This window comes from Homo sapiens, chromosome 6 (assembly GCF_000001405.40).
Source record: "Homo sapiens chromosome 6, GRCh38.p14 Primary Assembly".
NCBI classification, from domain to species: Eukaryota; Metazoa; Chordata; class Mammalia; order Primates; family Hominidae; genus Homo; species Homo sapiens.
The window spans coordinates 165,343,687-165,370,913 of NC_000006.12; the positions used below are offsets into that span (position 1 = coordinate 165,343,687).

The window sequence follows — 27,227 nt, forward strand, 5'->3', positions numbered from 1 at the left end:
AGAGTCACTTCTATCACAAGTCCCGTGAGGAGTGCATCATATGTTCCTGTTGCCTCAATGCTACTGAAGAAATCAAATATAATGTAGGCTCTGACTAGGCTGCCATCTAAATCCCCTGGTACACTTTTATGGCTATGGATCAGGCTTTCATTTTCATTGAATTTTGGAAATTTAGAGTGGGAAGACGTCTTAAGAGAAAATCTATCCCAATCCTTTCATTTTATATTAGCAAAGTCTGAGGTGCACAGAAATGAAATGACTTTTCTAAAGGGACAGGAATTTGTGGCAAGGCCAGAGGAGGAGGTAGCTGTGCAACCTGGTTCCTCACTCTCCCCGTGCAAGTGTGTGAGCTGGATGCAGCCTCCAAACACTGTGCTTCTCATTAGCAGATATTTCTTTTCAACACCAGCCTTTCAACCAAAATGACTTTTCCCTTTTCAGCTGCTTGCATTCATAACTAGGTGCTCCATGTCTGACTTTATTTTCTAAATATGGCTTGGTTTAATCTTTCCTCTTGAAGAAAAATAATAACTTAAAAAAAATCAAAGACATATCCCCTGCAATTTGAATAGATTTGGTCTTGTGATATGTGGCTACCCTAAGTGAAGTCTCTACTTAACAGAATAATTAAGTGGTAGTAATTAAGACAGTTTAATGTACAACTTTAGCTTTTGTAAAGCAAATTATATAATTTTAAAAGACAAATTATCAACAAGGATATAAAAGTGTGTAATGAGTGAGACGATGCTCTTACTTCTAGCTCCTATCTCAATTCGAATGAGTTTAAGCAATCCCCTGCTGTTAACCACTGCCTTACCTCTTCTAGGTCCACATTCTCCAACTGCGGGCACAGTCCTGCCCTAGCTCCCGAGCCTGTCTTGACCCAGGCAGACAGCACATTAGGAGCATCCATCTGTCAATCTGGCAGAGACTCTGCTCTAGTAGTGCTCTTAGCACATCTTAGCTCAAGCTAAGATGTTTGGATACCTGGAATACCCTGATTCTTATGATACCATCGATCACAGAGTTCTTTATTTCCTGTCAGCTCGCTTCCTTTAGCCCATTTAAGGAATCATCAGTTTTACTACCTTGCTTTTTGTAAGGGCACATTTCAAGAGGGTATCAGGTCTCTTACAGGTTAGACTAAATCACTTTACAAACATTGGTTAGATTTATGCATACCCTTCCTGTAACCCCAAACAGATGCTATGTGAAGATCCAAATCCCTTACAAGTGGTCAGGGAAACTATAAGATTTTCTTAATGAGGTCGTTTCTAAGAACTTTGTGTCTTGAAGATATTTATTTTTGGATTTGAACTTCTAACGTAATGAATATATGACCTTTTTTTTCAACAGGTAAATTCATTTAAACACAAATCGAATGTGAAAAACTACCATTTACAAATATTTCATATGTTTAAAATAATTCAATCTTATTAATTTATATTCACCAAAATAACGTATATCATGGTGAAATAATCTAATAAGGTTTATCTCAAAAAACTTTCATAAATCTGTAAAACAAAAGAAATGTCAATAGAATTGGGCATTATAAAACACATGAAAGCAATTTTCTTGCTGGAAATTATTCCCAACATAAAGTTGCCAATATAAGGACTGAAAAGATTATAAAACAGTTATTTAGATTTCACTGTCAAAATTACTTAGACAAAGCACAAAAAATAAAACAGATTAGAAATTTGGCATCAAATGTCTTTAGTAAATGTAAGTACTCATTTTTTTACTCCCAATTCCAAACCAGTTAGATGGCCATGGCTATACAGAAATATTAATTGGGATCAACATTTTATTTCTATCCATGAATGGAATGTAGAACTGACTGCTAACTGAGGTAGATCCTTAACTCCAAATATGCTTTAATAACCAATTGTGAAAGGATCATGTTCATGCTAAGCCTACTCTTGGTTTGAGATCATATAACCTAGTCGCTAAAAACAATCAAGGAGGAGCCCAACACAATGCCTATGATAAAACGATTCTTAATCACATAATTTCAGAAGGTTTAACTACATTCATTTATCCTCAAAAGTTGTGAATGCCTGCATGTATCTGGCAGTTACAGCAAAGAACCAAATAGACCCTTTTCTCAGAGTAATAATGTCCTAATAGGGCAAGGCAGACAGTCAACAGGTCAAAACTTTCATGAAGCAAGTGCTGGGTAAAAATCAATAAATCAATAAATCAATAAAGAGAGGCTACCACGTGAAGATCTGGGAGGAAGGTCCAGCAGAGAGGAGTGCACGTGAAGTCCTAATGTGGAAACAAGCAAGGCAGGTTTGAGGAACAAAAAGAAATGCCATTATGGCTGCGACACAGTGAATGAAGTGAAACATGGAACGTAGTTAAGTTTGGAGAAACAGGCTGGAGACAAGATAGGAGTTTAACTTTTATTCCAAGTTTGATGGTAAAATCTTGGTGTCTTTTCCCAGAGGAGTGGCCTGATACAGGTATTAAAGAGGATCACTCAGGTCTGCTGGGTGGAGATGACTCATAGACCTGTGAAGGGGCAAGGGCAGGTTCGGAGTGATCACTTAGGAGAACCCTACAGTAGTTCAGATGAGAGGTGAGGGCAGCTTGAAGTATGGTGACAGTAGTGGGACAGGGGGAGTAGGAGGATTCCAGACATTAGAGGTAGAGCCAAATGCAAATTATTAACACCCATAAGAGTTATAAAGACAAGGCATTTCTCTCTCCCGTCTTCGTTTCCTTTTCCCTCCTTTCTCCCCGACTGCCATGTATTAATTATCCCAGATCAAGTGGAGCAGATAAAGAGCACAGGCTCTATCACAGGGGTGCAGATATTCCAACCTCAAAGAGGCGGGCACCTCTCCGCAGCGTGCATGTTTGCCTGCTAAGTGCCATCCTATTTCAAGATTTTCTTCCCACATCAGAAGATCATGGAATCACAGAACTTTACCAAAGGAAGGCAAAATAGACCACACAGCCTGCAGTAGTACTTCAGATGAGTTACTGATGGGCAAGAAGGAAGCCCAGCCCTCCCACACTGCCCACAATCCCACGCCACACACTCTGTAAACCTGGCCAGCCAAGGATATACTATTTTGTTGGAAAAGAAGAAACACCCATTCTCTAATTTTATAATGATTATTTGAAATTTCTTTTGAATTTCTGTATTCAAAAGTATACTGATGTATAAGCAAAGACCAGAATTCTGTTATGAGGTAGTCTTAATTATTACTGTGAGAGTGGTTAAGTGTTATCAAGCGGTTAACTAAAAAGCAAAGGTGGGGGATGTACAGTGGATGTTTTGTTTAGAAGCTGTCATCTAGCCTCATTTTAATTATTTTACTTTAAAATAAAGTAACACATAGAATTTGAAAAGAAACTAGGTTCAATTCTTTTTTTCTCTAAATTATCACCTTAATGCTTTTTTTTTTATCTTGCTTTTAAACTCATTTTCAAGGGATTTTAAATCATTGGGTTGAGTAATTTAAATCATATCTGTAATAACTACTATACCTTCATCAAAATGTGACCTATTTTGAGTAATTTAGTAAACATTAAACTAGCCTAAGAATAATACAGTTTTTCTGAAAGTATTATTTGAACAGCTGCATACTCAAAATCATAGAAAATATTTTAAAATCTTACTGTTTCCAATAACATAAATAACTTTCATATAAGTATAAACATGATATAGTAATTATCTCACTAAAATATACTTTAAATTTAAGTTCTAAAATCTTAATAAAACCCTAAATGTTACTTCTTTTAAAAATACATTTTTTCCATCACAGAAATAAGTTGCTTCTTTTAAAAATACATTTTTCTCCATTACAGAGAGAAAAATAAATTATAAACGAATGGAAAATGAATCTTAGGTAAATGACTACCACAGAGGGAACTGCTGTTATTAAAGTTAATACCAGAGTATTATTCCTAGAGTTAACAACCTTTACATGGTCTCACAGAGTACCATACATAACTTTAATCCAAATGGGAACATTAGTGATCTTGCTTTAGAATTTCAGTTCCCCACATTTCAGGTTCTTCAGTTGAGACATCAAACATTCCTGGCAGAGGGAGGCCTTTATGCACTTACAGTCCTACAGCAGGTAAAGGCTGGAGGCTGCTGCCACATTTGGGAAATGCTAAAGAAACTACATTATGGCATATATATATATAAAAAACAGGTAACACATCACATAGACACATTTGTTGTTCTTCAAAGCACACAGCAATAGCTATGTAAAAATATAGAACTTTTCAAGTTCTATTTCTGAATTATTTGAAGAATTAACAAAGAATTGTTAAAGTGTTTAATATTGTACCCTTTCTTTGACGTGCACGTACCTGTACCCTTTCTTTGACATGCACGTACATCTAAATTAAGAAAAGACTTCAAGGGAAGTGGAGCAAAGGGATTGCTTTTGAAGGGTACAAATATTATCTGGGACTAAGAGAATAAACATTTTCATTTTAGAAAGATAACAAAAATAAGAGAAATTATGATTTTTAAGCTGCCATTTCAAATTATGAAATTAGTTTATCTTTACAATTTGTGTTTACGAAAGGCAGTTCTTGCATGAAATACATGAAAGTAAAAATTTTAAAAACTACCAGCAACTTCCATATTTGTCATCTTAATACTTAAAAGGATACTTTTATCTGATATCATAGCTTAAAACGCACCATGGTCTTTTCTGAATTTGCTGAAATGGTTCTTAGTTAAGACTATACCTGGTTCTATTTAGCCATAATGGGACCATGCTTGCTAATTTCAACAAAAAACAATAATTCTACTTTTGCCTACCCTTGGCTTGAGTTCAGAGCTGGTTTCCAGACATGACATTTGTTTTTAGTTGTAGTCAGGAAAAGTGCTTTGAAGGGAAATTTCAGTGCAGAAATCAAGCAGTTCACAGATGATTGGTGGCCCTGCATTACGTTTCCTCTCTCTCTCTTTTCTGTTCCTAGCAAATCCTTTCATAAGCTAGAATTAAACTGTCTGATATAGTTGTCCCCCACCCAAATCTCATCTTGAATTGTAGTTCCCATAATCTCCACATGTTGTGGGAGAGATGAGGTGGAGATAACTGAATCATGCGGGCAGTTTCCCCCTTCCTGTTTTGTGATAGGGATTCAGTTTTCACAGGAGCTGATGGTTTTATAAGGGGCTTCCCCCTTTGCTGGGCACTCATTTTTCTCTCTCCTGCTGCCACGTGAAGAAGGATGTGTTAGCTTCCCCGTCTGTCATAACTGTAAGTCTCCTGAGGCCGCCCCAGACATGAAGAACTGTGAGTCAATTAAACCTCTTTCCTTTATAAATTACCCAGTCTTGGGTATTTCTTCATAGCAGCATGAGAATAGACTAATACAGTAAATTGATACTGCAGAGAGTTGGGTGCTGCTATAAAGATACATGAAACTGTGGAAGCGACTTTGGAACTGAGTAACAGGCAGACGTAAGAAGAGTTTGGATGGCTCAGAAGGCAGGAAAATATGGGAAAGTTTGGAATTTCCTAGAGACTTGGACAACTCAGAAGACAGGAAGAAGTGGGAAGGTTTGAAACTTCCTGGAGACTTGTTGAATGGCTTTGACCAAAATGCTGACAGTGATAAGGACAATGAAGTCCAGGCTGGTCCAGGTGGTCTCAGATGTAGATGAGGAACTTGTTGGGAACTGGAATAAAGGTCACTCTTGCTATGCAAAGAGACTGGTGGCATGTTGCCCCTGCCCTAGGAACTGTGGAACTTTGAACTTGAGAGAGATGATTGAGGGTATCTGGTGGAAGAAATTTCTAAGTGGCAAAGCATTCAAGGGAAAGCAGAGCATAAAAGTTTGAAAAATGTGCAGCCTGATGATGTGGTAGAAAAGAAAAACCAATTTTCTGGGGAGAAATTCAAGCCAGCTGCAGAAATTTGCTTAAGTAACAAAGAACTGAGTGTTAATCACCAAGACAATGGGGATGTCTCCAGGGCACGTAAAAGACCTTCATGGCAGCTCCTCCCATCACAAGCCCAGAGGCCCAAGGGGCAGAAATGGTTTCGTGGGCCCCCCTGCTCTATGCAGCCTTGGGACATGGTGCCCTGTTTACCAGCTGCTTCAACTCCAGTGGTGACGAAAAGGGGCCAATGTATGGCTCAGGCTGTTATTTTACTGGGTGCAAGCCCCAAGCCTTGGTGGCTTACATGTGGTGTTGGGCCTGAGGGTACAGAGAAGTCAAGAATTGAGGTTTGGAAACCTCCACCTAGATTTCAGAGAATGTATGGAAAAGCCTGGATGTCCAGGCAGAAGTTTGCTGCAGGGCCAGAGCCCTCATGGAGAACCCTGCTAGGGCAGTGTGAAAGGGAAATGTGGAGTCAGAGCACCCACACAGAGTTCCCATTGGGGCAGTGCCTTGTGGAGCTGTGAGAAGAGGGCCATTATCCTCCAGATTCCAGAATGGCAGATCCACCTACAGCTTGCATCGTGCACCTGGAAAAGCTGCAGACACTCAATGCCAGCCCATGCAAGCAGCCGGGAGGGTAACTGTATCCTGTAGAGCCACAGGGGCAGAGCTTCCGAAGGCCGTGGGAGCCCACCTCTTGCATCAGCATGACCTGGATGTGAGACATGGAGTTGAAGTATATCATTTTGGAACTTTAAGGTTTAATGGCTGTCCTACTGGATTTTGGATTTGTATGGGGCATGTAACCCCTTTGTTTTGGCCAATTTCTCCCATTTGGAATGCTATATTTACCCAATGCCTGTACCCCCATTGTGTCTAGGAAGTAACTGACTTGCTTCTGATTTTATAGGCTCATAGGTGGGAGGGACTTGTATCAGATGAGACTTTGGACTTGAACTTTTGAGTTAACACTGGAATTAGTTAAGAATTTGAGGGACTGTTGGAAGTAGAGGATTGTGTTTTGAATTGTGAGGATATGAGATCTGGAAGGGGGCAGGGGCAGAATGATATGGTTTGGCTGTGTCCCCACCCAAATCCCATCTTGAATTGCAGTTCCCCTAACCCTCACTTGTCATGGGAGGGACCAGGTGGAGATAATTGAAACATGGGGGCAGTTTCCCCAATCCTCTTCTCATGATAGTGAGTTAGTTCTCACAAGAGCTGATGGTTTTGTAAGGGGCTTCCCTCTTCGCTGGGCACTCATTCATCTCCCTCCTACTGCCATGTGAAGAAGGACGTGTTTGCTTCCCCTTCCATCATGATTGTAAGTTTTCTGAGGCCTCCCTAGCCATGCTAAACTGTGAGTAAATTAAACCTCTTTTCTTTATAAATTACTCAGTCTCGGCTATGTCTTTATTAGCAGCATGAGAACGGACTAATACACTGTCTAAGAATCGATTTCTAGGATCCCAAATTCACTTGTCAGTCTTTGCCATTTATAAAGTTTAAAAAAAATTATTATTAAGTGTAAGGTATTTGTGAAGTCTGCACTGTATGTCTTATGTAAACAAATTATTCATCTGCATTTGAAACACACATGACAATGACTTTATACACAATTGGGCTTTGGTTGTTTCATTTTTAAAATAAAATATCATAAAAAATACCTAGTGTCTTTAATCACAGTTGTGGTCACAATGTCAATATGAGTAAATGGCATAATAGCTAATGACATCATAGTAAATGTGAGGGGTAGGTGGTAAGGGCCACTGGTAAGGACAAAAGGTGGGAAGCAAGTGTCAGAAGATTAGGACTTCCAGCAAAAGTCAAGATAATGTAACTCCAGAATGAATGAAACAAAGAATGAAATTTTTTAAAAAAAATTACCAGGACAAAAAATGCCAACAATCAAAGACATACATGAGTATATGACCACATGATACAACCTATAATTCAAATTACTTGCTATTTTGGATTATTTGTTTACTTGAGAAATATTTGCTGAACACCTACTATGTGCTAGACACTGTCATAGTTATCCATACCTCTGGGCCTTACCACTACACAAAAGCCCAGAATGTGACTCCTTCCATTACATGACATTCCATCATTGCAACAAGGATGGTATGCCACATAATTTATGTTCAAGCCAATACAGTTTTGAGAGTAAAAGCCAGCACTGCTATGAATTATTTTAGCTCAACATGTGTTAGCTGAGATTGATCGAGGCAAACTGTGGAGCATGGTCACTCTAATTTTAACACAAAATATCCATAAAATAAATAATGAAAATATAACATTTGAGAATTTTTTTTGAGACTGAGTCTCACTCTGATGCCCAGACTGGAGTGCAGTGGTGCAATCTCAGCTTACTGCAACCTCTGCCTCCCAGGTTCAAGCAATTCTCCTGCCTCAGCCTCCCAAGTAGCTGGAATTATAGGTGCCTGCCACCACTCCCAGTTAATTTTTGTATTTTTAGTAGAGATGGGGTTTCACCATGTTAGCCAGGCTGGTCTCGAACTCCTGACCTCAAGTCATCCACCCACCTTGGCCTCCCAAAGTGCTGGGATTACAGGCATGAGCCACTGCACCCAGACAATTTGAGAATTATTCTAAAAATATTAACTTTAAGTATTAATTTTTCCACTAAACGAAAATGCATTTATAAGTTGCACCTTTCTATCTACTTATGGTACAGAAATACATTGATTCTTAATACAAATAAGGATGCCTGGCTCTATACATTGGGCAACTTGAGTTCTCAGGCCAAGTCTGCCATTTATTTCTCCAAATGAAATAAACACTCCTTCTGTGTTTTAGTATTAATTTTGGATAGAGAGAGGCCACTGACTGTCATCCATCAACTACCCAAGATAGTAATTATAATTGACATCTCCAAAAAAGATCACCTAAGAAATATTACCATATATTAGCTATAAAGTTTCAAGCAATATCAGATAAATTGATCCATTAAAAGTATAAAACCAATGAAACTAAGTTGGATATTTACCAAGCTCATAAACAACAAGCATTTTAAAAGTTATAGTTCCATTTTTAACAAATGGTGCCAGAACAACTGGACATCTGCATGAAAAAAAAAAACACAATGCATCTAGACAGAGACCTTAGAACCTTTAGAAAACTTAATTCAAAATGGATCACAACCTTAAATATAAAACACAAAACTGTAACACAGATATATAACATAGAAGAAAAATCTAGTTCATCCAGAATTTGGTGACTTTTAAATACAACACAAAGGCATGATTCATGAAAGAATAAGCTAGACTTCATTAAAAATTAAAAATGTATGCCCTGCAAAAGATACTGTCAAAAGAGTAAAAAGGCAAGCCACAGACCGAGAGAAAACATTGGCAAAAGGCATATCTGATCAAAGACTGTTACCACAAATATACAAAGAACCCTCAAAATTCAACAATAAGAAAACACCCAAATATAAAAATAGGGCTAAAGACATGAACTGACACCTCACTAAAAATATATATAAAGATGGCAAATAAGTATTTGAAAAGATGGTCCACATCATATGTCATCATAAATATGCAGATTAAGACAATGAGATAACACTACACATCTATTAGAAAGGCCAAGATCCAGAAAACTGACAATGCCCAATGCTGGATATGGAGCAAGAGGAATTCTCATTCATTGCTGGTGGGAATGCAAAAAGGTACAGCCATTGTGGAAAAGAGTCTGGTATATTTCATACAGAATTATGAAATAATTCATAATTATTCATAAGTATTTCATACAGTATGTCATAAGACATACTCTTATAATATGACCCAGTAATTATGCTCCTTAATACTTACCCAGAGGAGTTGGAAATTTATGTTTACACAAAAACCTGCACATGGATGTATAGGCAGCTTTACGAATAGTTGTCAAAACTTGGAAACAACAGTGGTGTCCTTCAGTAGATGAATGGGTAAATAAATGATGGTACATCCACACAATGCAATATTATTCAATGCTGAAAAGAAATGAGCTATCAAGCCATGAAAAGACATGGAAGAAACTTAAATGCATATTACTTTGTGGAAAAAGCCAATTTGAAAGTCAACTACTCTATGATTCCAACTATATGACATTCTGGAAAAGGCAATGGTATGAGGACTGTAAAAGGATCAGGGATTGCCAGGAGTTGCGGAGAGTGAGGAATGAATAGGCTGAGCACAAGGGATTTTTAGGGCAGTGGAATTCCTCCATATGATACTAAAATGGTGGATACGTTTGTCCAGACCCATAGAAGGTACACATCATTAAGCCTGCATCCTAATGTAAACTACAGACTTTAGGTGATAATGATGATTTAATGTTGGTTCATTAATTGTAATAAATGTACTATTCTGGTGCAGGATACCAACAGTGGGGGAAGTTGTCCATGTGTGGGGACCAGGATATAGAGGAACTCTGTACTTTCTACCCAATCTTTCTGTGAATCTAAAATTGCTTTAAGAAATAAAATTGGTTAATGTAAAAAAGAATTATAGTTTCAAATAAGATGGAAAATTAGTAGGCTAAGATAAATGCCCACATCAGAAATAACAGCTAAGTTCCAAAAGAAAAGATGAATTGGTAGTAAAGGCATGATGCCACATTGATAAGGAAAGGTAAATTGTATAGTGAAGAAAAGCAGTCTGGAAGTGTATTTCTGACTTAAGACCGTAACTTAACAGAGAAAAAAATAATTTTGGAGAAGTATCCTTTTTGAATAGTATGGAGAAAACTCATCAGCCATCCTGAATAAAGAACAACCAGCAGTGGAGGCAAATGTCCATTGGATAACCACATTAGTCCTAAGGCCAATGACATCAGCTAAGAGCATACTTAATCTTGTTTCTTTTGAACATGAATTGTCCAAACAAGAAAATAAGGAGTTAAGATATAAAAGCCACTCCAAGCTGGAGATGGTATCTTCACATCGGCACAGATGGGAATTCAGTTATTTGAATAATTCAAATCAGTTGTTCAACTGAGTTACTGAATTCCAATTGAGTTATTTCTACAACTGAGGTAAAGTGTCCATCTGCAGACTTCAGATGGGAGAAACAACTGTAAAGATATAGATGGTGCCACCTAGGGAACATGGGAAGCAAACCCAAATCTTTGAAAAGGACAGGTGGAGGAGTCCACATCCTTGTTACAGGGGAAATGATGTCTGTGTTAACTCGAGTGTTATAAGGAACTCTAGAAAATGGTGAGGAGAAGAGAAAGGTTTCCAATAGCCATGAAGGCATTTCTACGCTGGTGGTAAAAGCCTTCCAGTGACCAAATTCTACACAGTCCATCTCATATGACAGCAAAGAATGGCTTGTGTTAGGCAATTCCTTACATAATTAGCCATCACAACAATGTAAATGTGTGAATTTTGAACTCATTATTAATTCTTAAGTAGATTATAACTTTACTCATTATAATGTAGAATTCTGTGGATTGCTTCCATGAGCTTATCAATTCCTAATCACCTCACAGTGAGATAAGATCTCACTTGGTGAATTAAGGATCATTCCATATTAATCTTTTAATGATTTCCTTTAAAGTGATACTGAGGTAATCGACATCTTAAGAACAAAATACTTCAAACAAAATGCTTTGTATTTTACAAAATGCAGATTTATAGATCATACTTTTTTTATACTTTAGGTTATGTTATATAGAATGAAATGCATAAATTTGAAGGATATTAGTGAGTATGAAAATATATGCAGTCTGTAATGACCACACCAATGATGACAAGTAATGTTTTTATCACCCAGAAACCTCGTTTTCTAGTCAATGTCCCTCATCGAACCCCAGCAACTGCCAGTTTAAATTCCAGCACAATCACTAACATTATTGTTTTGCCTGTTGTAGAACTGCATTACAATAGTATCATATAGTAGTATGTAACCACTTTGCTCAAACTAACATTTGTGTGATTCAACCATGTTGTCTCATGATTCAGAGTTCATAACTTTAAAAATTGCTGAATAGTACAGTATTCCATTGTTTAAATGTCCAAAGTTGTGTATCTAGCCCCTGTTGCTGGACATTTAGGTTGCCACCAGGTGGGATATACTAAGAGTAATGTTGCTATGAATGTGTGTCCTAGCCTGTGTGTGAAAGTACACTTTCATTCCTCTTGGATAAAAATACCTGAGAGTGAACTGCTAGAACACAGTATAAGAACATGTTCAGCTTTATTAAAACAAAACAAAATAAAAACAAAACAACTAAGGTGTTTTCTAAAGCAGCTGTACAAATTCTATACTCTTACCAGCAATATATGAGTATTTCAGCTGCTTGACATCCTTGCTGTATTAGTCCATTTTCACACCGCTATAAAGAATTACCTGATACTGGGTAATTTATAAAGAAAAGAGGTTTAATTGACTCACAGTTCCACATGGCTGGGGAGGCCTCAGCAAACTTACAATCATGGCGAAGGTGAAAGGGAAGCAAGTATTATATGGCTGCAGGAGAGAGAGAGCAAGCAAAGTGGGAGGTGCCACACACTTTCAAACAACCAGATCTGGGTGAGAATTCATTCACTATCATGAGAATGGCAAAGGGAAAATCTGTCCCCATGACTCAATCACCGCTCACCAGGCCCCTCCCTTGACACATGCAGATTACAATCCGAGATGAGATTTAGGTGGGGACACAGCCAAACAATATCACTTGCCAACAACTGATAATGTTGGTCTTTGTAATTTTGGCCATTCTAGTGGGTGCATAATGGTACATACACCACCCTGGTTTTACCTTATGATTAGAGATGTTGAGAAAATTCCATGTGTTTATTGGCTTTAAATTCTGTAAAAATCTTTCATATAATTTTTTTCTTGGGTTGTTTTATTATTGACTTTACAAAGTTATATAATACCTTCGTCAAACATAAATACTGAGAATATTTTCTCACATTATGTGGCTTGTCTTTTCATTTCCTTAAAGGTACCTTTTAAGGATCTTGTTTTTTAGCATGATGAAGTCTCATCTGTCATTTATTTGTTTAAAGGTTCATCCATTTTTGTGCCTACCCTAAGGTCATGAAGATTTTCTCCCATGTTTTGTTTTAGAAATTTTATAATTTTAATTCTTATATTTAGGTCTCTCATCCAACTAAAACTGGTAAAGAACCATTTGCAGAAAAGACAGTTGTTCATATACAAAAAATATAATTGATTTTTTAAAAAATGTTGACCACATAGCCTGTAAACTTGCTTAATTCGCTTATTAATTCTAGTACATTTTTTGGAGATGACTTAGGTGTTTTTCAGTAGATGGCATGTAATTTAAAAATAAAGTCAGATTTACTTTTTTCTTTCAAATCTTTATGCCTTTCATTTCTATTTCTTTCTATAATTCACTGGCTAGGACCTCCAATTCAGAGTACTACAGAACTAGACAGAGGGGGTATTACTTAATATATGAACTATCATCACGGGGGCTATGATGTGTTCATACACTTTTTACAATATTAAAGAAGTTCCATTGTATTCCTAGTTTTCTGAGATTTTTGGCCTTCATAAATGGAGGTGTAATTTTGTCAGATGCTTTTTCTACATCTATTGTAATAATCATATGATGTCTCTTCTTCATTCTGTTGTGGTGAATTTTGGAAATGTTAAGCCAGTTTCCTAATCCTGCAATAAAATTCTTGTTATGACATATGATCTTGTTATATGTGATTGAACATGTTATATTTTGTTATGAATTTTACAGTTATACTTTTACAGTTATATATGGTCATGAGTTTTATAGTTAGATCCAAAGGGAATACTGAACTTGAATTTACTGTTTTTGTGATGTTTTTGACAGACTTTGGAAATCAGGATTATTTAGCCTTCATAAAATAAGGTAGGAAATGGTTCTTGTCCTTCTTTTGGAAAGCTTTTGTGCAAGATTGTTTGATAGCAACCCCACATGAAGCTGTTGAGGCCTGGTCCTGAGGGATGGGTGGTTTGTTTGTTTGTTTGTTTTAAGATTAGATTTCTTCAATGAAATATTCAGAGTTCTTTTTGGTTCAAGTATAGTAAGCTGGATTTCTCAAAAAATTTATCCGGTTCATCTAAGTTTCAAATTTATTAGCATATTATTTATAATACTCTCTTATTATCCCAATGTAATCTAAGTGCTATCCCCTCTTTCACTGTCAACATTGGCAATTGGTGTTAATATTTTCTTTTTTTTCCTTAATTAGTCAGAATTGTATCCATTTTAATAGTCTTTTCAAAGAACTACTGGCATTTCGAATCTTCCTTCTGTTGCTTGCTTTATGTTTTATTGCTCTCTTATCCAGATTATTTACTTCCCACAAGTTAGGCTTTAATTTACTCTTTTTTTCTAGCTGCTTAAGGATTTAAATCACTGATGAACATACACATTGAAAGTTATACATTTCCCTCTCAGCACTGTTTTAGCTGCATCCTACAGATTTTGATATAGTTTGTTTTCACTGTCATTCTGGTTGAGGTATTCTCGGACTTCCCGTGGAGTGTCTCTTTTGACTCATGGGTTATTTAGAAGTATACTGTTTACTTTCCAAATGGTTGGGGTTTTCCAGATAGCTTATCATTATTTTTAATTTAATTCCTCTGTGGTAAAATAATACTCCTAAGACTTCAATCTTTTGAAATTTATTGACAAATTAGGTCACAATAGTGTCGTTTAGATCTCTGTTAGCCTTAGCGAACTTTTACATAGTTCTTCTGTAAGTTACTTAAGGAGGGATATAAAACTCTCCAACTAGGATTTTGGATTTGTTTACTTTTTAGTTCTGTGTTTTTTTGTTCGTTTGTTTTTGAAGCTTTGTTATTAGGTGCATGTACATTCTGCATTTATTATGTCTTTTGTACATTGACCATTTCAGAGTAAACTTGACCTCTTTATATCTGGCAATGTTTCCTATCTTAAAGATTATTTTGTACAATTTTAATATAGGTACACCAGTTTTTTTTTTTTAATGCTGTTGCCATGGTATATCTTTATCATTTGCTTTCAACAAATCTTTCTACTTAAAGTGCATACGTCATAGACAACATGGAACTCGGTCTTGCTATTTAGCTGGTCTGATCATTTCTGGCTAATTCAGATATTCAGTCTATGTATATTTAATTTAATTGTTGGTTTTATTAGGTTCAAATGTACCATCTTGGGATTTGTTTTCTATTTGTTGAATCTGTTTTTGCTCCTCTTGTCCTGCTTCCCTGTGGTTTTATCAAATGTACTTTTACTATTCAATATTTTTGTCTACTTTTAAAAGCTATACAGTTTCAGTAGATAAATATGCATATTCTAATCTCTAGGGAAACTGTAAAAAGAGCAAATCTCTTTTTTTTACTCTTTTTACAGTTTCCCTGGGGATTATAATATGCATACTTATCTACTGAAAATTAATGTTCTTCCACTTAACACTTCACTCTACCCTTCACAAATGTAAGAAACTTATAACTATAGAATATATAGAACTATAATTCTACATAGTCTCATCCTTTGTGCTGTTTTCATATTTAATCACTACATATGATACAAACCCTATCTTACCCTAGTATTATTTTTGCTTGAACCACTCATTCATTTTTTAGAAAAATAGAAGAAACAGTATTCTGTTAATATGTTCTATTTATCTACATATTTGCTACTTTACCTTCCTACAGACTGAGTTTTCATCTGGTAATTCATCACTCTGAGGTTTCTCCTTTAGTATGTCATGTTATTCCTGTCTGCTGACAACATATTCTTCCAGCTTTTATTTATCACAAAAATGTCCTTATTTCAGCCTCCTTTTTTGAAGAATGTTTCTAATGGACATAGGATTTGGAACAGACAGTGCTTTGAATACGTCCATGTTTTTGCTCTCCATGATTTCTGGCAAGAAACACGCATCATGTGTAGTATTTTACCCTGTTTGTTACGTGTTGTTTCTCCCTGGTACTTTATTATTCTCAAATTTCTTTGGGGCTCAATTTTATAATTTTCACTTCTCTGCTAAAATTCTGCATTTTTTCACTCCTTAAAATCAATTTTTGTTTAACACCTTGAACATATTTAGAGTCACTGATTTCCAGTCCTTCCCTGCTAATTCCACAATCTAAGTCATCTTGGGCTCTGTTTCTCCTGACTGCTTATGTCTTCTTGATTGTGGGTCCTATTTTCCTGCTTCTTTATATTTGTAGTAAAGGGCCAGATAGTAAATACTTCAATTTTGGTGGGCTATATGTAACATCTGTCACATATCTTTTTTTTTCTGTTCTTTTTTGTTTACCAGTGCATTACAAACGTAAACTCATCCCAGTTTGTGGGCTGTGCACACAGACAGGGCACACCAGATGTGGCCTGAGGCTTTAGAGTGCCAACCCCTATTTCTGACAGTCCATTATGAGAAATCTGGGTCATGATGTCTCCCTTTTGAGTTTATTTCTGCCAGGCTGTTACTTCACTAGTGGATCTCCCCAATCCTGTGGAAGTTTGAGTTTACGCTTTGGTTAGGAGAATCAAGTATTGTCTTTGTTCCACAGTGTGGTCCATACCCACGATATGGCTTTGCTGATACTCTATCCTGTGGTGTGGACAAGCTCTCTCTACTCTAGATGAGCTGAAAGTCTGTTTCCAAATACTGTGTGATCCCTACAATCTCCGTGGGATGCTTAACTCTGCACACTGTGGCACTCTCAACTGCTCTGCTAGGGCCTGTGAAATTCCACCCCAGGTATGAGAAACTCAGGCCCAGCCACTGACCCGTGAGGAGCTTCTGCAGATTCTTGGCATCTCAGCACAATTCCCACATCTCCCGGATTCTACCCAGTGCTGCTATAAGGCTCTGCTTTCGTTCCACTGCCCTGTCCCAGAGTCAGGAAATTATCCTCAACTGGATAAATGTAGGAGTTCATATGTTTCACTTTTCTCAAGGATTACAGTCCTTTATCACCTACCATCCAATGTCAGTTGCCTAGAGGTACTCCCATAAAGAGTGGATGTTGTAGGAGGAGGCAACTGGGAGGACATGGATGGATTTATTGGAGATACAGGCTCAACTGTAGTTTGGAAAAACTGCTGAGGAGAAACTGGGGAAGAGGTGGCTGGGAGGAGCCATCCTATGGTGAGACAAATCTCAAATAACCGAGTGCTGGAAACGGGCCTTGAAAGGGCCCATATTTGACTGACTCTGTCTGTAAAGCAATGTCTCCCCCAAATACTGTTGTTGTAAACAATAAAGCCACCAGCTGATGGCTGTTGGAACTTAAGAGTAGGGTGTGGGTCAGGAAAAGAGACAGTCAAAGAGACATGCCAAAACCACTGTCCTTCCAGGTGACTGTGGGTACACCAATGCTGTCCCCTTTGAGGATCAACATCAAAGGCTTAATACTGGGGGGTTCATTACTTAAGGGAAAAAGACAATTTGCTTTCCCCCAAAGAACAGGAACAAGAAGAATGCCTGCTCTTGCCACTTAAATTCAGCACAAGCCAGACATTTATCAAATAGAAAGAAAAGGCAAACAGATTAAAAGAGAATTGTATAACTATCTCTATTTGAAGATGACATAATCTTATGTGTGTACAGAGATGCCTAAGCATTAGAAGTAATAAATGCGTTCATCAAGGTTTCAAGATACAAGATAAGCAGTACAGAAATCAATAAACAGGCCTAAAAGACATGTACAGAGCACTCCACCAAACACCACAGAATATATATTCTTTTTGAGTACAGATGGAACATCCCCCAGGCTAAATCAAATGTCAGGAAATAAAACAAGCCTCATTAGATTTAAAAGAATAAAAATAATATAAAGTATGTTCTTTGACCACAATTAAATCAATAACAAAAAGAAACTTGGAATCTTCAAACATTTATGGAAATTTAAAAACATATTCTCATATGACTATTATGCACGAAATTGTGTCCCTCAAAGAGATATGCTGAAGTCCTGACAGTTCCTCAGAACGTGACCTTATATAGAAATAGTGTTCTTCCAGACATAATTCGTTAAGATGAGGAAATATTGGAAAAGTGTGGGCCCTTAATACAATATGACTGGTGTCCTTATAGGAAGAGGAAAGTGATACAAAGAAGGAAAGACACCAGGGGAATACAGAGACACACAGGTATCTCATCACTGGCATGTGATGATGGAGGCAGAGATTGGAGTGATACTCTCATAGACTACAAATGCCTGAAGTTGCCAGTATCTGTTAAAAAGTAGGAGAGAAACATTGAACTTACTGTCCTTCTGAACCCTCCAGAAGGAACCAACGTTGCCGGTACCTTGATTTCAGACTTCTGGCCTTAAGAATTGTGAGAAAATAAATTTCTATTGTTTTAAGCCATCTGGTTTGTGGTATACTTTGTTAACAGCAGTCCTAGAATATGAATACAATAACAAATGTATCAAAGTTAAGAAATTAAAAAGGAAATGTGAAAATCCCTTGAGATGTATGAAAATAAAGACACAATATATCAAAGCTCATGGGATGCAGTTAAACAGTAGTTAGAGGAAAATTTAGAGCTATGAATGTCTATATTAAGAAAGAAGAAATAATTCAAATTAATAACCTAAACTGCCTTAAGACTGAAAAAGGAGGAGCTAACTAAAACTAAAGCAAACAGAAGTAAGCAAATAAAGATTACAAAAGAAATACATGAAATTTGGATGAGAAAAACATTAGAAAAAAATCAATGATACCAAAAGCTGGTTATTTGAAAAGATCAACAAAACTGACAAACTTTTAAGCTAGACTGACCAAGAAAAGACAGAGAGGGAGAGGGAGAAAAAGAAAGACGATTCAACTTAATAAGGAACAGAAACGAAAAAGGGAACTTTACTACCAATCTTACAGAAATAAAAAGGATCATAAAGAACTACCATGAACAACTGTATGCCAATAAAGTAGACAAGTTAGTTGAAAATGGACAAATTTCTAGAAAGACACAAGTGACTAAATATGACATAAGAAGAAATAGTCAATGTGAATAGACCTATAAAAAGTACAAAGACTGAATTAGCAGTCAAAGGGAAAAATAACAACCACAAAGAAACATCTATACCCACATGACTTCACTGGTAAATTCTATACATTTGAAGATGAATTAATACAAATTCTTCATAAACTCTTCCAAAAAAACAGTAGAGGAGGGAATACTTCCCAGCTAATTCCATGAGGCCAGTGTTACCCTGACACCAAAATAAGACAAATACCACAAAAAAGAAAAGTACAGACCAGTATAATTTATGAATACAGGCACTAATGTCCTCAACGAAATATCATCAAGCCAAATCCAGCAATATATAGAACAACTATACACCATTATTACCTGATATCTATCATAGGAATGCAAGGTTGGTTTAACATCTAAATATCAATTAATCTAATGCACCTTACTAATAGAATAAATAACAAAAACTGCTTGATAATCTCGATAGATGCAGATAAAGCATATGACAAAATCCAACACCCATTCACAATAAAAAAAATAAACACTCAACAAATCAGAATTAGAAGGAAACTTCCTCAACCTGATAAAGTTCATCTATAAAATACCCATATCTAATACCACACTTAATGGTGAAAGACTAGATGCTTTCCCCCTGAAATCAGAAACAAGAAAAGGATGTCTTCTCTTGTCACTGATATTCAGCATAAGCCAAACCAATGATTAAATAAAAAGAAAGAAATGGGCCAGGTGCCATGACTCACGCCTGTAATCCCAGCACTTTGGGAGGCTGAGGCAGGTAAACCATGAGGTCAGGAGTTCAAGACCAGCCTGGTCAAGATGGTGAAACCCCGTCTCTACTAAAAATACAAAAAATAGCCAGGCATGGTGGCAGGTGCCTGTAATCCCAGCTACTCGGGAGGCTGAGGCAGGAGAATTGCTTGAACCCGGGGGAAGGAGGGTGCAGTGAGCTGAGATCGTGCCACTGCACTCCCAGCCTGGGCGACTGAGTGAGACTCTGTCTCAAAAAAGAAAAAAAAAACAGAAAAGAAAAGAAAGAAAGAAATGACAGATTCTGAATGCAATTGTTTGTACAACTATCTCTATTTGAAGACGACATGACCTTGTGTGCACAAAGAGAAACCTAAGCAATGCACCAAAAAATTATTAGAAGAAATGAGTTCATTAAGGTGTCAAGATATAAGATCGGTAGTACAAAAATCAATTATTTCTACATACTAACAATAAAAAATGTGAAAATAAAATTAACAAAATTCCACTTACAATATTATCAAAACAATAAAATCCTTAGTAATAAATTTAACAATAGAAGTACAAAATATGGACTTGAAAACTAGAAAACATGGTTGAAAAATATTAAAGAACAAGTAAGTAAATGGAAAAGCATCTCATATTCACAGACTTAATATTGTTAAGACGGCAATACTTCCAAAATTGATTTACAGATTCAACATTTTCTGCATCAGAATCCTAGCTAGCTTTTCTTTAGAAACTGACAAGGTGATTCACATGGAATTGCTAGAGACCCAGAATAGTGAAAACAATATCGGGAAAGAAGAGAGGAAGGAAGGATCAGTAACAGAAAAGCACTTACTGTTATTCTACATATTTGTAACTCTAGATAATACAAGTTTCTATAGACTGAATGTTTCTTTCCCCTAAAATTAATATGTTAAATCCTAATGTCCAACATGTTAGTATTTGGAGGTGGGACTTTTGGAAGGAAGGTGATTATGTCATGAGGGTAGAGCCCTCATGAATGGGATTAGTTCCCACATAATAGAAACCTCAGAGAGCTCCCTCCCTTCTTCCATCAAGTGAGGTGGCAGCTAGAAGATGGCTCTCTAGGAACCAGAAAACAGGCCCTCACTCAAATTGAGACACTCAAACTGCCAGTAGCTTGATTCTGGAATACTCATACCCCAAATATGTGAGAAGTAACCTTTTATAAGCCACCCAGTCTATGGTATTTCGTTATAATAGCCTGAAGGGACTAAGACACACATATAATCTATAAAGAAAGAACACATTGATTTCTATGCCTGGGGTAGGGAAATTTGATTGGAAAAAGGTAGAGTGGTGGCAGACTTTTTTATACCTTTACTGTGACTCTGCTAGTAGTTGCATTTGCCAAAACTTAAAATTAGTGTAATTACACCTAAATAAAGTTGCTTTAACAATCATCTTTTCTGTCTTGGCCAGGAAGAAAATATTGATCAACTATAAAATTTTAACTTAATAGTTATATTCTTTTTACAACAATCCAAAGAAGTCTCTAGGAACAAAATAAAAAATAAAAAACAAGCAAACATCCAAAGTATTTCGAAATTAGAAAATTACTTTGAAATAACCTCTACATCAACAAGGAAACAAAAGCAGAAATAAATAATCTAAAAACTAAGGAAAAGTACTTCATCAAAACTTGCAAGGTATAGTTCAGTCAATGCCCAGATCATAATACATATAATCTGATTATTTCATTACTATTCAATCAGAGAAACAAGAAAAAAATCCAAAAGTATAGTGAAAGCATAAAAATAAAAGTTAAAATTAATGAAAGAACAGACAACAAATAAATGAAAAATTTTATAAAAGTTAGTTTTATTAAAAAGGAGTAATTAAAAATTCCCAGGCAAAATGGATTATATAAGAAAGGAAGAAATAAAAATGTAAAACACTGAAAATTAGATATAAATACAAATTTAGTAATATCAATTAAATTTTAAGTGAAAATAATCTGTGCATACATTTTTTATGAAGTTTTAAATCTCAAGGCAAAAGATAATTTTGTAGCATAATACATTGACCAAGAGATGGAATAAAGTGGCAAAAACAAAACAAATCCCCAAACCATAAAAGACACTGAAAGTTTGTTAAATATTTTTCATTTAAAAAGGTGACAGGCTGGACATGATGGCTCATACCTGTAATCCCAGCACTTTGGGAGGCTGGGGTGGGAAGATCATTTGAGCCCTGGAGTTCAAGACCAGCACTGGCAACATAGCAAGACTCTGTCTCAACAAATTATCTCAACAAATAATGACAAAAAATGTAGCCAGGCATGATGGTGTTTGCCTATGGTCTCAGCTATTTAGCTACTTGAAAGACTGAGGTAGGAGGAACCCTTGAGCCTGGGAGGTCAAGGCTGCAGTGAGCTGTGGTTGTGCCACTGTACTTAAGCCTGGGGGACAGAGAAAACCCGGTCTCAAAAAAGTGAATTAAATTAAATTAAAATTTAAAAGGTGACTGGATAGTTTCACAAATGAGTAATTCCCAAAATGATTAAATGAACCTTCCCAAAATGGTTAACATTAGTTATTTAAAGTCTTCCAGATCAGAAAGAAAGATCAATAGCTTCTAGCAAATTATAATGTACAAAAAAGACAACTATATGTCAAAATTAATAGATTACATGCAAATATGCTAAAAAAGAAAATTTTATTTCCTCAGCCTATTAAAGAACTAATTCCATGGAAAAGTACAGTTCAGGAAATTAAGGAGTGGCACAAAATTAGAAAATTTAAAAACCTATTCATCAAATAAGAAATCAGTAACACTAAGAAATTAGAGAAAAACCTTCTATCCATGGAACATGGATACAGATAAACCTTATACATGATAAACATGATTTATCAAGATACATCAAATACTACCTTAAAAATTAAAACTCTAAACTCATGTCTATTAAAGTCATGCACATATTAGAATGTGCTTGCTTTCTTCACAATAAGCTAATATTGTGTTGTAAATTCTAGCTATGCAGTCAGATCAGAAAGCAAAATACATACAAACATCAGAAAAGTAGAACAAATTTTATTCATTTGTAGATGACATTACTATATACCTTAAAAAGCCAAGAGACTAAAATAAAACTTTTCAGCTGATAAAGAGTATATAATGAAATGGCTAGATACTAAACAAAGTTTTAAGATTCTGGTAATCATAGAATAATAATAATAAATTCTAGATAGAACTAAAAACAAATCTTGAAGATGCTGTCTAGTACCTAAAAACTGGCGTAAGTGGAAGAAGATTTAAACGTTGAAAGGCAAGACCACGTTGGGTGACATCCTTATTTACACAGCTCTTCTCCTAAGGGCATGTCATAAATACAGCCCAAAAGAAAGTCAGGGCCCATTGAGAAGGGAGAGTCTGGGGATGTCAGAGCACACACAAGTTGAGGAGGGAAATCCTAGAAAGCAGGGAGAACCACAGAAGTGGAAGTCCCCAAATTGGAATTCATACAAATCCCTGACAGAGTACACCAAGGCCAAAACAGAAATGGAACCACCCAACTAAAGCTTAAAGGAACATACTCATATATTTAGGATGATTGATGAGAAATGCAACTGGCCACTAGGATAAAAGTTAATTACCTTCAGAGAAAGACAAGAGCATCCAGAAAGATAATGGAGCTTGTTGCCCATTATGTAATATACAAATATAAAAAAATTACTAGCCATGTAAAGAAACTGAAAAATGTATTACACTGTCTAGAGTAAAATCAGTCAACAAGACAAAACTCATAGAAAACCCAGATAGTGAAAATTCAGACAACAATCTCTAAATAATGTACAGATACGCTAAAGAATCTTCAGGAAAATATATATTTAGAAAAGATAGGTGAAGAGATGGGGAATTTCAGGAGAAACATAGCAGCTATAAAAATGAATGAAAAGGAAATCCCAGAACTTGAAAATATTACATATATATATATACACACACACATATGTGTGTGTGTGTGTGTGTGTGCGTGCATCTGTGTGTATTTTCTAAAAATCACAACATGAGGTTAACTACAGATTGGACAGAATATTAGGAAAAAAAACAGTGAGATTAGACAGATCACAACAAAATACACAAACCATTACCAGTGAAAAACCATACAGAGCCTTAATAACCTGTAACACAGTATAAAGGGGTCTAACAGAAGTGTCAGAGTCTCAGAAGAAAAGAGACATAATGGGGCAGAAAAAACATCTGAAGAAATGTAATGCTTGAAACTTCTCCAAACTTCACTGAAATCAGCAGCCCACAGACCCAGAAACCTCAGAAGACACCAAGAAGAATGACTGTAAAAGCGGTCAGGGTAAAAGATCACAGTATACTGAGGAGAACAACAACTGCTGACTTTTCCCCTCAGGAGGGGGAAAAAAAAAAAGACAGAGGCCAGAAGACCATTTACTGACTTTTATGAAATGATGAAAAAATAATCTGCCCACTAAGAACTCTAAGTCCAGTGAAAATATCTTTAAAAAGCGAAGCCACAATAAAGCCATTCTTAGATTAAAAAAAAACAAAAACAAAAAACAAAAACAAAAAAACACCTCAAAGGATCTGCTGTCAACACACTGAGAGATGTTAAAGGAGGTTATTTGGGCTCAAATGAAATGATAGAAGTTGGAAATTTGGATTTACATTAATGAATTAAAAACAGAGGAAATGGTATACATGTGAAAAATATAAAAAGTTATTTTTCCTAAATTCTTTTCTTGTTTTTTTGAGATGAAGTCTTGCTCTGTAGCCCAGACTGGAGTGCAGTGGCATGGTCTTGGCTCACTGCTACCTCTACCTCCCGGGTTCAAGCGATTTTCCTGCCTCAGCCTCCCGAGTGTCTGGGATTACAGGCATGCACCACCACACCTGGCTAATTTTTGTATTTTTACTACAGATGGGGTTTCCCCATGTTGGCTAGGCTGGCCTTGAACTCCCGGCCTCAAGTGATCAGCCTGGCTTGGCATCCCAAAGTGCTGGGATTAAAGGTGTGAGTCACCACACCCAGCCCATATTTCTTAAATTCTTTAATAATTGATTCATTATTTAATTTTAAATATTAGCAACCTATGTGGGGTGTATAACATATGCAGCAATAATAGCTACATATATAACTATAGCAGAAAAGACAAAAAGAGGTATAAATTGAATTATTTTAAAGTTTTTCACATTGAACAAAATGGAAATAATATCAATTCAAAGCGGACTAATAAAAATGCATACTGTAAACTCAGGAACAACCACTTGAAAATTTAAAAAGGGTATAACAAGAAAAACCAAAAGCAAATATAGAATGAAATATCACTCCCCCAACACAAATAGCTCAAAATAGAAAATGGATAATTAGACAACTTATAAATGCAAATAGACTAAACAGTACATTAAAAAGCAGTGATTTCAGACTTAAATGTCCCTGTCTGACAGCTCTGAAGAGAGCAGTGGTTCTCCCAGCACGTAGCTGGAGATCTGAGAACGGGCAGACTGCCTCCTCAAGTGGGTCCCTGACCCCTGACCCCTGAGCAGCCTAACTGGGAGGCACCCCCAAGTAGGGGCAGACCGACACCTCACACGGCCCGGTACTCCTCTGAGACAAAACTTCCAGAGGAACGATCAGACAGCAGCATTCGCGGTTCACGAAAATCCACTGTTCTGCAGACACCGCTGCTGATACCCAGGCAAACAGGGTCTGGAGTGGACCTCTAGCAAACTCCAACAGACCTGCAGCTGAGGGTCCTGTCTGTTAGAAGGAAAACTAACAAACAGAAAGGACATCCACACCAAAAACCCATCTGTACATCACCATCATCAAAGACCAAAAGTAGATAAAACCACAAAGATGGGGAAAAAACAGAGCAGAAAAACTGGAAACTCTAAAAAGCAGAGCACCTCTCCTCCTCCAAAGGAACACAGTTCCTCACCAGCAACGGAACAAAGCTGGATGGAGAATGACTTTGACGAGCTGAGAGCAGAAGGCTTCAGACGATCAAATTACTCTGAGCTACGGGAGGACATTCAAACCAAAGACAAAGAAGCTGAAAACTTTGAAAAAAATTTAGAAGAATGTATAACTAGAATAACCAATACAGAGAAGTGATTAAAGGAGCTGATGGAGCTGAAAACCAAGGCTCAAGAACTACGTGAAGAATGCAGAAGCCTCAGGAGCTGATGCGATCAACTGGAAGAAAGGGTATCAGCAATGGAAGATGAAATGAATGAAATGAAGCGAGAAGGAAGTTTAGAGAAAAAAGAATAAAAAGGAATGAGCAAAGCCTCCAAGAAATATGGGACTATGTGAAAAGACCAAATCTATGTCTGATTGGTGTACCTGAAAGTGATGGGGAGAATGGAACCAAGTTGGAAAACACTCTGCAGGATATTATCCAGGAGAACTTCCCCAACCTAGCAAGGCAGGCCAACGTTCAGGTTCAGGAAATACAGAGAACGCCACAAAGATACTCCTCGAGAAGAGCAACTCCAAGACACATAATTGTCAGATTCACCAAAGTTGAAATGAAGGAAAAAATGTTAAGGGCAGCCAGAGAGAAAGGTCGGGTTACCCACAAAGGGAAGCCCATCAGACTAACAGCAAATCTCTCGGCAGAAACCCTACAGGCCAGAAGAGAGTGGGGGCCAATATTCAACATTCTTAAAAGAAAAGAATTTTCAACCCAGAATTTCATATCCAGCCAAACTAAGCTTCAAAAGTGAAGGAGAAATAAAATACTTTACAGACAAGCAAATGCTGAGAGATTCTGTTACCACCAGGCCTGCCTTACAAGAGCTCCTGAAGGAAGCACTAAACATGGAAAGGAACAACCGGTACAGCCGCTGCAAAATCATGCCAAAATGTAAAGACCATCGAGACTAAGAAGAAACTGCATCAACTAACGAGCAAAATAACCAGCCAACATCATAATGACAGGATCAAATTCACACATAACAATATTAACTTTAAATGTAAATGGACTAAATGCTCCAATTAAAAGACACAGACTGGCAAATTGGATAAAGAGTCAAGACCCATCAGTGTGCTGTATTCAGGAAACCCATCTCACGTGCAGAGACACACATAGGCTCAAAATAAAAGGATGGAGGAAGATCTACCAAGCAAATGGAAAACAAAAAAAGGCAGGGGTTGCAATCCTAGTCTCGGATAAAACAGACTTTAAACCAACAAAGATCAAAAGAGACAAAGAAGGCCATTACATAATGGTAAAGGGATCAATTCAACAAGAAGAGCTAACTATCCTAAATATATATGCACCCAATACAGGAGCACCCAGATTCACAAAGCAAGTCCTGAGTGACCTACAAAGAGACTTAGACTCCCACACAATAATAATGGGAGACTTTAACACCCCACTGTCAACATTAGACAGATCAACGAGACAGAAAGTTAACAAGGATACCCAGGAATTGAACTCAGCTCTGCACCAAGCGGACCTAATAGACATCTACAGAACTCTCCACCCCAAATCAACAGAATATACATTTTTTTCAGCACGACACCACACCTATTCCAAAATTGACCACATACTTGGAAGTAAAGCTCTCCTCAGCAAATGTAAAAGAACAGAAATTATAACAAACTGTCTCTCAGACCACAGTGCAATCAAACTAGAACTCAG

At 36.8% G+C, this 27,227-nt stretch overlaps 1 protein-coding gene across 12 annotated transcripts in view; it reads right to left on the reverse strand.

The window, feature by feature from the left end:
- PDE10A (phosphodiesterase 10A) overlaps positions 1-27,227 on the reverse strand; it is a 660,764-nt gene that overhangs the window by 16,398 nt on the left and 617,139 nt on the right. The window lies entirely within an intron of this gene.